The sequence below is a fragment of the Homo sapiens genome, chromosome 13 (assembly GCF_000001405.40).
Source record: "Homo sapiens chromosome 13, GRCh38.p14 Primary Assembly".
Lineage (NCBI taxonomy): Eukaryota > Metazoa > Chordata > Mammalia > Primates > Hominidae > Homo > Homo sapiens.
In genome coordinates this window covers 99,166,218-99,179,427 of record NC_000013.11, presented here as the reverse complement: position 1 = coordinate 99,179,427, position 13,210 = coordinate 99,166,218, and the positions used below count along the sequence as shown (strand labels likewise).

Genomic DNA, 13,210 nt, shown 5'->3' with positions numbered 1-13,210 from the left:
AGGTAACTGAAGGTGTAAGGAATAAGTCTGAGATATCACAGAGGAAGCAGCTACCACCTCTCAGGCTGGGCAAACGGAGGGAAGCAGGTCCAATGATTAAAACCTTGAAACTTGGCCAAGTGTGGTGGCTCAGCCTGTAATCCCAGCACTCTGGGAGGCCGAGGTGGGGGATGATGGATCACTTGAGGTCAGGAGTTCGAGACCAGCCTGGCCAACATGGTGATACCTAATCTCTACTAAAAATACAAAAATTAGCAGGATGTGGCGGTGCATGCCTCTAATCCCAGCTACCTGGGAGGCTGAGGCAGGAGAATCGCTTGAATCTGGGAGGTGGAGGTTGCAGTGAGCCAAGATCATGCCACTGCACTCCAGCATGGGCAAAAAAAGTGAGACTCTGTCTCAAACAAAAACAAAAACAAAACCTTGAAACTTAGAGGAGTGGTCCCAGGGGACTGGGACCAGACCTCTGAGAAGGACGCGCTGGCCAGCTGGTGGCGGGCTGGGAGTGGTGAAACTGGCTCTGCTGGTGTTGCAAGCACTGGCATCTGGATTCAGCTGCTGCTGCAGAAAGCAGCTGCATTTGCTGGGTGGAGTGTCCCTGGGGTATTGCTCAAAGGGGCCCCAAGCAGCAAGGAGGTCACGAGCCCCTCCTTCTTCCTCAGCTTCCTGTAGCACCCCAAAATGGTAGAACCCAACTTGTGGTTTGCAGAGTCTCAGCCCAACATCACAAAGCCAAGCAGAGAAGCCTGGGTTTGGAGTGAGAGGCAATAACTTAGTAACTGTCATGGGGAACGCACAAAGCCATCCCTCACTGTATGAGTGACATTTAGGGACTGTGCAGGCACATGAGTCTGTATATTGGCTGAATTTCTTTCCTTTGCCTTCTGCAAATCATTTCGTATTCTCCTAGGCCCTTGCCATATTGGAGAAATATCAGAAAATCCTTAATGGGTCTCCTGGTTCAAAAGGAACTGACCAACGATTACAAGTGTCTATCAACAGATGAATAAATAAGCAAAATGCAGCAGAAACATACAATGGAATATTGGCCTTGAAAAGGAAGGAAATCCTGACCTGTGCTCTAACATGGAAGAACCTGGAAGATCATCTGCTAAGGGAAATACGCCAGTCTCAGAAGGACAAATACCGAGTGATTCCACTTATATGAGGTGCCCAGAATAGGCAGATGCCTGGAGAGGGGAAGGAGAGTGGTGGTTGCCAGGCCTGAAGGAGGAGGGAATGGGCAGTTGTTGTTCGGTGGGTCCAGAGCTTCAGTTCTGCAGGATGGAAAATGTTCCGCGGATGGTGGTGGTGGTGGCTGCACAACAGTGTGAATGCATTGAATGCGTGTGACTGCACACTGAGAAATGGCTAAGGCGGGACGTTTTACCTGATGTGGATTTGCCCACAGTCACATATTTTTAGAAAGGAACTAGGCTGGCTGCAGTTGCTCATGCCTGTAATCCCAGCACTTCGGGAGGCCAAGGCAGGTGGATCACTTGAGGTCCGGAGACAAGCCTGGCCAACATGGTGAAACCCTGTCTCTACTAAAAATACAAAAAATTAGTCGGGCATGGTGGTGCGTGCCTGTAGTTCCAGCTACTCAGGAGGCTGAGGCAGGAGAATCACTTGAACTTGGGAGGCAGAGATTGCAGTGAGCCAAGATTGCGCCACTGCACTCCAGCCTGGGTGACAGAGTGAGACTCCATCTCAAAAAAAAAAAAAAAAAAGAAAGAAGGAAAGAAAGAAAGAAGTAAGAGAAAAAGAAAAGAAAGAAAGAAAGAAAAAGAAAGAAAGAAAGAAAGAAAGAAAAAGAAAAAAGAAGAGAAGAGAAAAGAAAAGGAAAGAAAGGCAAGAAAAGGCCGGGCGCGGTGGCTCACGCCTGTAATCCCAGCACTTTGGGAGGCCGAGGCGGGCGGATCACGAGGTCAGGAGATCGAGACCATCCTGGTTAACACGGTGAAACCCCGTCTCTACTAAAAATACAAAAAACTAGCCGGGCGCGGTGGCGGGCGCCTGTAGTCCCAGCTACTCTGGGGCCTGAGGCAGGAGAATGGCGTGAACCCGGGAGGCAGAGCTTGCAGTGAGCCGAGATCGCGCCACTGCAGTCCGGCCTGGGTGAAAGAGCGAGAGTCTCAAAAAAAAAAAAAAAAAAAAAAAAGAAAGAAAGAAAAGGGAAGGGGGAAAGGGAAAGGGAAAAGGAAAGGAAAGAAAAGAAACTAGACAGAGGTTAGAGCTGGAGGACATGGGTGGGCGCCCTGAGCCTGATGTGTCACATGCCTTCATCCTCCCACCTTGGGTGAGCAGCATTTTCCAGGCTTTGCTTAGTGAGTTCTGATGTGCAACTGTCTTCGTCGGCCCTGCTGCACACCCACTACAGGTGTATATGAACAGGGACGGTCTGCCCCTCTGGTGGTCCCGGGAATAAAGAATTGATTCCAGCAGATGATAATATAACAGCTAATATGGAGTGTGTTCAGCATGCCAGGCACGTGTGTGATCCGCAGCACACCTGTGTTGTAGAGCCTGTTATCACCTCCATTTTACGATGAGAAACCTGAAGCTCAGAGGGGTTGTGTCCAGCCTCCGGTCACCCACCTGCCAAGTGCAGAAGCCGAGGTAGAACCGGGCTCTCCGTCCGGGATCTCGTGCCCTTCACCGCGGGACTCTACCTCCCCCTAGTGGACCATCTAGCCTTGCATGGTCTCACATCCAGTTTCTACACAGGTGGGATACCCAGCTGTCTCCACTCATGAGAGGTAACTTCGCATTCGCTGTTTGCTGTTCCACAAGCATGCCCCTTTCTCTTGCCCTAGCTCCACGCTGGCTGTGTTCCAACAAGTGGCAGCAGTGCTGAGTTTTGCTGCACACCCAGCGAGGCACCCCAGACTCTCACCTGCCAGGAGCACCCCTGCGGGCTTCAGAGGCTTGTGGCAGGATTACCAGGTGTTCCTTACCATGGTCCGTCAATTCCCGCAGAAGCAACCCTGGGAGATTTAAGAATCTTCTTAAGCTTCTGTGGCTGTGGAGATCCTTGGAATGGTAAAGAGACTTCCGGATTTCTTTCTATAGCCCAGCTATGTAAAGTACTTTGTGGAGTCAACTACCCTCCAGGTTTCTCCCTTGATCGGAGGGGTCTGCGTGGGATTCTGAATGGGGGAGGCATCCATTGAGAAGAGCCTTTTCCACACCATGCAGGCACCGTGGATGCCTCTGGGATTCTGGCAGGTGAATCTGGGTATCCTGGGTGATACTGATGGCTTTTGTTTTTTGATGCAGGATCCATCTGAGGTACACATATTGCGTTTAATTGTTATGTTTCCTTTTAAATTTTAACTTCTCTTTTCTTTTCTTTTTTTTTTAGATGGAGTTTCACTCTTGTCACCCAGGCTGGAGTGCAATGGCGTGATCTCGGCTCACCGCAACCTCTGCCTCCCGGATTCAAGTGATGCTCCTGCCTCAGCCTCCTGAGTAGCTGGGACTACAGGCACCCACCACACCCAGCTAGTTTTTGTATTATTAGTAGAGACAGGGTTTCACCATGTTGGCGAAGCTGGTCTTGAACTCCTGCCCTCAGGTGATCCTCCAGTCTCTCAGGGTTACATGTGTAGGTTTATTTTTTATTTTTTATGTTTTAATTTTTTTTGAGAGAGATTCGGGCTCTGTCGCCCAGGCTGCAGTGCAGTGGTGTGATCTCAGCTCACTGCAACCTCCACCTCCCAGGTTCAAGTGATTCTCCTGCCTCAGCCTCCTGAGTAGCTGGGACTTACAGGCACGTGCCACCATGCCCAGCTAATTTTTCGTATTTTTAATAGAGACATGATTTCACCATGTTAGCCAGGATGGTCTCGATCTCCTGACCTCGTTATCCATCTGCCTTGGGCTCCCAAAGTGCTGGGATTACAGGCGTGAGCCACTGCACCCAGCCTGTAGGTTTATTGTATAGGTAAACTTGTGTCATGGGATTTTGTTGTACAGATTCTTTTGTCACCCAGGTATTAATTACTCATTAATTATTTTTCTTTAGCCTCTTTTAATCTAGAATAGTACCCCCTTACTACTACCTTCTTGGGTTTTTTTGGTCACATGGAACTTTTGGGGTTCAGGTGAGTTTACTAGATTGTCCCCCGCTCCATGCTGAATTCGTATAATAGTTGCTTCATGTTTGGATTCAGATCAAATATACTTTGTAGGTGATGGTTTGTACTTCTCACTGCCTCATATCAGGAGGAACATAAAACCTGACCTGGGAATCACACAGTCAATAAATGCGTCTTAACAATATATTACGTTGTGTGGTGCGCTGAGTCCCCTGCTATACAATGAACACACAATGGGAGCCATTGATATGATTGGGACATGCAGAGATAATGAAAACCAAAGGGCAGGTTTGTGGGTTGGCAATAGGTGCACTTAACAGAAAATTCAACTCACAATAGTCCATCCAAATACAAGTCAGGAGGCAGGCAGCCCAGAGCTGATGCAACAGCTCCACCTAATTCAGGATCTTGCTCTCTTTCACTCTGCCATCACTGGGGTGTGGCCTTGGGTCTCATGAATCCAAGATGGCTTCTGCCCCCCAGACATTGGGACCCCTTCCAGGCAGGGAGGAGGAAAGGGGCATGCCAACTGCCCTGATCTCCTTTTAAGAAGCTTTCCTGGGGTGGCACCCAATGATTCTACTCACACCTCATTGGTTGGAACTGAGTCACATGCTGAACCCAACATGCACGATTGGGAAATGCAGTTGTCAGGAGCCTTGCGATCCTGAGCAAAAACATGGTTCTTTTAGAAAGGAAGAAGGAGAGAATGGATATTAGGTAGGCAATTGGGAGTCTTTGCCCTGAAGAATAAGGCAGGCTGGGGTTTGTTTTGTTTCTTGATGTGTGATTTTATTGTTTGTTATTCTTAGAAAAATCTCTTTTTTGTTTGTTTGTTTTGACAAGACTTAAACTTGGAGGTAGAATTTATCAAAGAGGACAGCTCTGTCTCTTGGCTATCTGTTCTTGGCAATTTGTTTGACCTCCTGCATTCTCTTGACCAAAAGTTCAGCATGTTCTGCTCTGCAACCTCTTATTTTCCTAAATATGCTGTTTTTTCAGAGCAATAGACGTACATTTGTGTTGCTGGACACATGGAATAACAAGACTGAATCTTGGGTGCTTTACTCCCAGGTCTCTTACTTTCTTTGTTTAGGGGCTTTCTCACAAAACACTGGTGTTCATGATCTTCTTAAGGAAGATGGAAATGTTTGTGGATTCTGCTATCTGTTCTGAGCCCCAGGATAGAGGCCCAGTAGCATCAGTCAGTCCAGGAATATTCTTCTTTCCTTTTTAGCTGATAGTTAAATTGAGAACACTCAGATTGGCATCCGTAGTGCAATCCAGAACAGACTTGAATTTTCTTTAAAAATTTTTTTAAGATAAAAGGTCTCACTCTGTCACCCAAGATAGAGTGCAGTAGTGTGATCACAGCTCATTGCAGCCTTGAACTCCTGGGTTCAAGCAATCCTCTTACCTCAGTTTCCCTAGTAGCTGGGATCACAGGCAAGAGCCACCACACCCAGCAGACTTGTGCCTCCTTTCTCCAGTTCTCCTTGGTCTCTAACAAGAATGCCCCTTACGCAATGGCACATGGGCACGGCCATGGTCAGGACATCTTGCTTCTTGGGGGAGACTTGCTTGTTGTTCCCCTCACTGTCTTGGACCACATAACCCTTCTGTTCTTTTCACCCAGAGCATCAGAATACACTTCTCAAAATTGGTCCAAAGTTCGTGTTCATCATCCACTTCAATGAGCTCCTGGCAGCCTGTGGCTGGGAAGATCAGCTTCATCTTGAAGCAGCTGATCACCTCCAAGTCCCCACGAAAAAGAAAAGACAGATTTTTGATGGCTAGTGAGACAGCTACACAGATTATATCAGGGTTTAAAAGTTCCCACAAGCCATTAAAAAATGGATTATTCCTGAGATCCTTTCCAAGATGGCCAAATAGGAACAGCTCCGGTCTGGAGCTCCCAGTGTGATTGACGCAGAAGATGGGTGATTTCTGCATTTCCAACTGAGGTACCTGGTTCATCTCACTGGGACTGGTTGGACAGTGGGTACAGCCCACGGAGGGCGAGCTGAAGCAGGGCGGTGTGTCGCCTCACCCAGGAAGCGCAAGCGGTCGGGGAATTTCCCTTTCCTAGCCAAGGGAAGCTGTGACAGACTGTACCTGGAAAAACGAGACACTCCCACCCAAATACTGTGCATTTCCCAAGGTCTTAGCAACCGGCAGACAAGGAGATTCTCTCCCGTGCCTGGCTGGGCGGGTCCCACGTCCATGGAGCCTTGCTCACTGCTAGAGCGGCAGTCTGAGATTGAACAGCGAGGTTGCAGCCTGGCTCGGGGAGGGCGTCTGCCATTGCTGAGGCTTGAGTAGGTAAACAAAGCGACCGGGAAGCTCAAACTGGGTGCAGCCCACCACAGCTCAATAAGGCCTACTGCCTCTAGACTCCACCTCTGTGGTCAGGGCTTAGCTGAACAAAAGGCAGTAGACAACTTCTGTAGACTTAAACATCCCTGTCTGACAGCTCTGAAGAGAGCAGTGGTTCTCCCCAACACAGCGTTTGAGAACGGACAGACTGCCTCCTCAAGTGGGTCCCTGACCCCCGTGTATCCTGACTCGGAGACACCTCCCAGTAGGAGCCGACAGGTGGGTGCCCCTCTGGGACGAAGCTTCCAGAAGAAGGATCAGGCAGCAATATTTGCTGTTCTGAAATATTTGCTGTTCTGCAGCCTCCACTGGTGATACCCAGGCAAACAGGGTCTGGAGTGGACCTCCAGCAAACTCCAATAGACCTGTAGCTGAGGGACCTGACTGTTAGAAGAAAAACTAACAAACAGAAAGCAATAGCATCAACATTAACAAAAAAGACATCCACACCAAAACCCCATGTGTAGGTCACCAACACCAAAGACCAAAGGTAGATAAAACCACAAAGATAGGGAGAAACCAGAGCAGAAAAGCTGAAAATTCTAAAAATCGGAGTGCCTCTTCTCCTCCAAAGGATTGCAGATCCTCGCTAGCAATGGAACAAAGCCAGATGGAGAATGACTTTGACGACTTGACAGAAGTAGGCTTTAGAAGGTTGGTAATAACAAACTTCTCTGAGCTAAAGGAGTATGTTTGAACCCATCGCAAGGAGGCTAAAAACCTTGAAAAAAGGTTAGGTGAATGACTAACTAGAATAAACAGTGTAGAGAAGACCTTAAATGACCTGATGGAGCTGAAAACCATGGCACGAGAACTTCATGACGCATGCACAAGCTTCAATAGCTGATTCGATCAAGTGGAAGAAAGGGTAACAGGGATTGAAGATCAAATTAATGAAATACAGCGAGAAGACAAGGTTAGAGAAAAAAGAGTAAAAAGAAATGAACAAAGCCTCCAAGAAACATGGGACTATGTGAAAAGACCAAATCTACATTTGACTGGTGTACCTAAAAGTGATGGGGAGAATGGAACCAAGTTGGAAAACACTCTTCAGGATATTACCCAGCAGAACTTCCCCAAGCTAGCAAAGCAAGCCAACATTCAAATTCAGGAAATACAGAGAACACCACAAAGATACTCCTCGAGAAGAGCAACCCCAAGACACATAATTGTCAGATTCACCAAGGTTCAAATGAAGGAAAAAATGTTAAGGGCAGCCAGAGAGAAAGGTTGAGTTACCCACAAAGGAAGTCCATCAGACTAATAGCGGATCTCTCAGCAGAAACCCTACAAGCCAGAAGAGAATGGGGGCCACTATTCAACATTCTTAAAGAAAAGAATTTTCAACCCAGAATGTCATATCTCACAAAACTAAGCCTCATAAGTGAAGGAGAAACCAAATCCTTTACAGACAAGCAAATGCTGAGAGATTTTGTCACCACCAGGCCTGCCTTAACAAGAGCTCCTGAAGGAAGCACTAAACATGGAAAGAAACAACCAGTACCAGCCACTGCAAAAACATGCCAAATTGGGGTCAGGTGTGGTGGCTCATGCCTGTAATCCCAGCACTTTGGGAGGCCAAGGCAGGTGGATCATGAGGTCAGGAGATCGAGACCATCCTGGCTAACACAGTGAAACCCCATCTCTACTAAAAAATACAAAAAAATTAGCCGGGCGTGGTGGCGGGTGCCTGTAGTCCCAGCTACTCGGGAGGCTGAGGCAGGAGAATGGTGTGAACCCAGGAGGCGGAGCTTGCAGTGAGCCGAGATTGTGCCACTGCTCCCCAGCCTAGGCAACAGAGTGAGACTCCATCTCAAAAAAAAAAAAAAAAAAAAAAAAAAAAAAGCCAAATTGTAAAGACCATCAATGCTGTGAAGAAACTGCATCAATTAATGGGCAAAATAACCAGCTAACATCATAATGACGGGATCAAATTCACACATAACAATATTAACCTTAAATGTAAATGGGCTAAATGCCCCAATTAAAAGACACAGACTGGCAAATTGGATAGAGTCAAGACCCATCAGTGTGCTGTATTCAGGAGACCCATCTCACGTGCAAAGATGCACATAGGCTCAAAAGAAAGGGATAGAGGAAGATCTACCAAGGAAATGGAAAGCAAAAAAAAAAAAAAACAACCAAAAAAAACAGGGGTTGCAATCCTAGTCTCTGATAAAACAGACTTTAAACCAACAAAGATCAAAAGAGACAAAGAAGGCCATTACATAATGGTAAAGGGATCAATTCAACAAGAAGAGCTAACTTTCCTAAATATGTATGCACCAAATACAGGAGCACCCAGATGCATAAAGCAAGTCCTTAGAGACCTACAAAGAGACTTAGACTCCCACACAATAATATTGGGAGACTTTAACACCCCACTGTCAATATTAGACAGATCAACGAGAGAGAAGGTTAACAAGGATATCCAGGACTTGAACTCAGCTCTGCACCAAGCAGACTAATAGATATCTACAGAACTCTCCACCCCAAATCAACAGAATATATATTCTTCTCAGCACCACATCACACTTATTCCAAAATTGACCACATAATTGGAAGTAAAGCACTCCTCAGCAAATGTAAAGAAACAGAAATCACAACAAACTGTCTCTCAGACCACAGTGTGATCAAATTAGAACTCAGGATTAAGAAACTCACTCAAACCAGGGGCGGTGGCTCATGCCTATAATCCCAGCACTTTGGGAGGCCAAGGCGAGTGGATCATGAGGTCAGGAGATCGAGACCATCCTGGCTAACATGGTGAAACCCCATCTCTACTAAAAATACAAAAAAAAAAATTAGCTGGGCGTGGTGGCAGGCACCTGTAGTCCCAGCTACTTGAGAGCCTGAAGCAGGAGAACGGCGTGAACCCGGGAAGCAGAGCTTGCAGTGAGCTGAGATCGCGCCACTGCACTCCAGCCTGGGGGACAGTGTCTCTGTCTAAAAAAAAAGGAAACTCACTCAAAACCACACAACTACGTGGAAACTAAACAACTTGCTCCTGAATGACTACTGGGTAAATAACGAAATGAAGGCAGAAATAAAGGTGTTCTTTGAAACCAATGAGAACAAAGACACAGCATACCAGAATCTCTGGGACACATTTAAAGCAGTATGTAGAGGGAAATTTATAGCACTAAATGCCCACAAGAGAAAGCAGGAAAGATCTAAAATCGACACCCTAACATCACAGTTAAAATAACTAGAGAAGCAAGAGCAAACAAACTCAAAAGCTAGCAGAAGGCAAGAAATAACTAAGATCAGAGCAGAACTGAAAGAGATGGAAACACAAAAACTTTTCAAAAAATCAATGAATCCACGAGCTGGTTTTTTGAAAAGATCAACAAAATTGATAGACTGCTAGCAAGACTAATAAAGAAGATAAGAGAGAAGAATCAAACAGACGCAATAAAAAATGATAAAAGGGTTATCACCACTGATCCCACAGAAATACAAACTACCATCAGAGAATACTATAAACACCTCTATGCAAATAAACTAGAAAATCTAGAAGAAATGGATAAATTCCTCGACACATACAGGCTCCCAAGACTAAACCAGGAAGAAGTTGAATCCCTGAGTAGACCAATAACAGGCTCTCAAATTGAGGCAATAATTAATAGCCTACCAACCAAAAAAAGTCCAGGACCAGACGGATTCACAGCTGAATTCTACCAGAGGTACAAAGAGGAGCTGGTACTATTCCTTCTGAAACTATTCCAATCAATAGAAAAAGAGGGAATCCTCCCTAATTCATTTTATGAGGCCAACATCATCCTGATACCAAAGTCTGGCAGAGACACAACAAAAAAAGAGAATTTTAGACCAATATCCCTGATGTACATCGATGCAAAAATCCTCAGTAAAATGCTGGCAAACCGAATCCAGCAGCACATCAAAAAGCTTATCCACCACGATCAGGTTGGCTTCATCCCTGGGATGCAAGGCTGGTTCAACATATGCAAATCAATAAGCATAATCCATCACATAAACAGAACCAACAACAAAAACCACATGATTATCTCGATAGATGCAGAAAAGGCCTTCAACAAAATTCAACAGCCCTTCATGCTAAAAACTCTCAATAAACTAGGTATTGATAGGACGTATCTCCAAATAATAAGAGCTATTTATGACAAACCCACAGCCAATATCATATTGAATGGGCAAAAACTGGAAGCATTCCCTTTGAAAACTAGCACAAGACAAGGATGCCCTCTCTCACCACTCCTATTCACCATAGTGTTGGAAGTTCTGGCCAGAGCAATCAGGCAAAAAGAAGAAATAAGGGGTATTCAATTAGGAAAAGAGGGAGTCAAATTGTACCTGTTTGCAGATGACATGATTGTGTATTTAGAAAACCTCATCATCTCAGCCCAAAATCTCCTTAAGCTGATAAGCAACTTCAGCGAAGTCTCAGGATACAATCAATCAACTGGCAGAGACACAACAAAGAAAGAGAATTTTTTTTCTCTTTTTTTCACAAAAAAAAGAGGTTTTGTTTTTTAAACAAAATCAATGTGCAAAAATTACAAGCAATCCTATACACCACTAATAGACAAACGGAGAGCCAAATCATGAGTCAACTCCCACTCACAATTGCTAAAAAGAGTAAAATACCTAGGAATCCAACTTACAAGGGATGTGAAGGACCTCTTCAAGGAGAACTACAAACCACTGCTCAACGAAATAAAAGAGGACACAAACAAATGGAAGAACATTCCATGCTCATGGATAGGAAGAATCAATATCATGAAAATGGCCATACTGCCCAAGGTAATTTATAGATTCAGTGCTATCCCCATCAAGCTACCAACAACTTTCTTCACAGAATTGGAAAAAACTACTTTAAAGTTCATATGGAACCAAAAAAGAGCCCACATTGCCAAGACAATCCTAAGCAAAAAGAACAAAGCTGGAGGCATCACGCTATCTGACTTCAAACTATACTACAAGACTACAGTAACCAAAACAGCATGGTACTGGTACCAAAACAGAGAGACCAGTGGAACAGAACAGAGGCCTCAGAAATAACACCACACATCTACAACCATCTGATCTTTGACAAACATGACAAAAACAAGAAATAGGGAAAGGATTCCCTATTTAATAAATGGTGCTGGGAAAACTGGCTAGCCATATGTAGAAAGCTGAAACTGGATCCCTTCCTTACACCTTACACAAAAATTAATTCAAGATGGATTAAAGACTTAAATGTTAGACTTAAAACCATAAAAACCCTAGAAGAAAACCTAGGTAACACTATTTAGGCCATAGGCATGGGCAAGGACTTCATGACTAAAACACCAAAAGCAATGGCAACAAAAGCCAACATTGACAAATGGGATCTAAATAAACTAAAGAGCTTCTGCACAGCAAAAGAAACTACCATCAGAGTGAACAGGCAACCTACAGAATGGGAGAAAATTTTTTACAATCTACCTATTACATATCCAGAATCTACAAAGAACTTAAACAAATTTACAAGAAAAAATCAACCCCATCAAAAAGTGGGCAAAGGATATGAACAGACACTTCTCAAAAGAAGACGTTTATGCAGCCAACAGATGCATGAAAAAATGCTCATCATCACTGGCCATCAGAGAAATGCAAATCAAATCCACAATGAGATACCATCTCACACCAATTAGAATGATGATCATTAAAAAGTCAGGAAACAGCAGGTGCTGGAGAGGATGTGGAGAAATAGGAATGCTTTTACACTGTTGGTGGGACTGTAAACCAGTTCAACCATTGTGGAAGACAGTGTGGCGATTCCTCAAGGATCTAGAACTAGAAATACCATTTGATCCAGCCATCCCATTACTGGGCATACACCCAAAGGATTATAAATCATGCTACTATAAAGACACATGCACACGTATGTTTATTGCAGCACTATTCACAATAGCAAAGACTTGGAACCAACCCAAATGTCTATCAATGATAGACTGGATTAAGAAAATGTGGCACATATACACCATGGAATACTATGCGGCCATAAAAGAGGATGAGTTCATGTCCTTTGCAGGGACATGGATGAAGCTGGAAACCATCATTCTGAGCAAACTATCACAAGGACAGAAAACCAAACACCACATGTTCTCACTCATAGGTGGGAATTGAACAATGAGATCACTTGGACACAGGGCAGGGAACATCACACACCAGGGCCTGTCAGAAGGTGGGGGGCAGAGGGAGGGATAGCATTAGGAGAAATACCTAATGTAAATGACAAGTTGATGGGTGCAGCAAACCAATATGGCACGTGTATACCTACATATCAAACCTGCACGTTGTGCACATGTACCCTAGAACTTAAAGTATAATAAAAAAAATGGATTAGTCCCTAGCCATGGTAACAAGCAGCCACCAGAACCAGTTTCCCATCTGTTCAATCCATCCGTGAGGACTTGGTTACCTTTCACAAGCTAACCAATCATCTTCTGATGTGACTGGCTCACTTAAACACATCCGTGGGAGCCAACCAATCAACAATAGCTCAGGCAGCAACCACCCTTCCAGGGAGGCTGCCACCCAACTTATGCCTCTGGAAGGCCTCCAACTCCTGAGCTCCACACCCTCCAAAACCCTATATAAGTTAATACTCTGCTCAGAGAGATGGAGCGTAACCAGCATAGCTCTCCCTTCCTGTGGGAAACAATACATTCAGCTTTGTTTCCTTATTTCAGGTATTAAGTGGTTATTCTGTTACAATCAAACCAAAA

General features: G+C 44.9%; 1 pseudogene, besides 2 other annotated features; it reads right to left on the bottom strand.

Annotated features, from left to right (window-relative positions):
* Positions 2,353-2,442: an enhancer, noted in NCBI's record as "active region_7928". NCBI's record gives its function as "activates an Ori minimal core promoter by ATAC-STARR-seq in GM12878 lymphoblastoid cells {active_cell/tissue: GM12878}" and the evidence as "EXISTENCE:reporter gene assay evidence [ECO:0000049][PMID:35858748]".
* RPS6P23 (ribosomal protein S6 pseudogene 23) lies at positions 4,937-5,874 on the bottom strand (annotated as a pseudogene).
* Positions 6,262-6,763: an enhancer, noted in NCBI's record as "H3K4me1 hESC enhancer chr13:99824919-99825420 (GRCh37/hg19 assembly coordinates)". NCBI's record gives its function as "activates a minimal SCP1, AML or CMV promoter by ChIP-STARR-seq in primed H9 embryonic stem cells {active_cell/tissue: H9 hESC(primed)}" and the evidence as "EXISTENCE:reporter gene assay evidence [ECO:0000049][PMID:30033119]".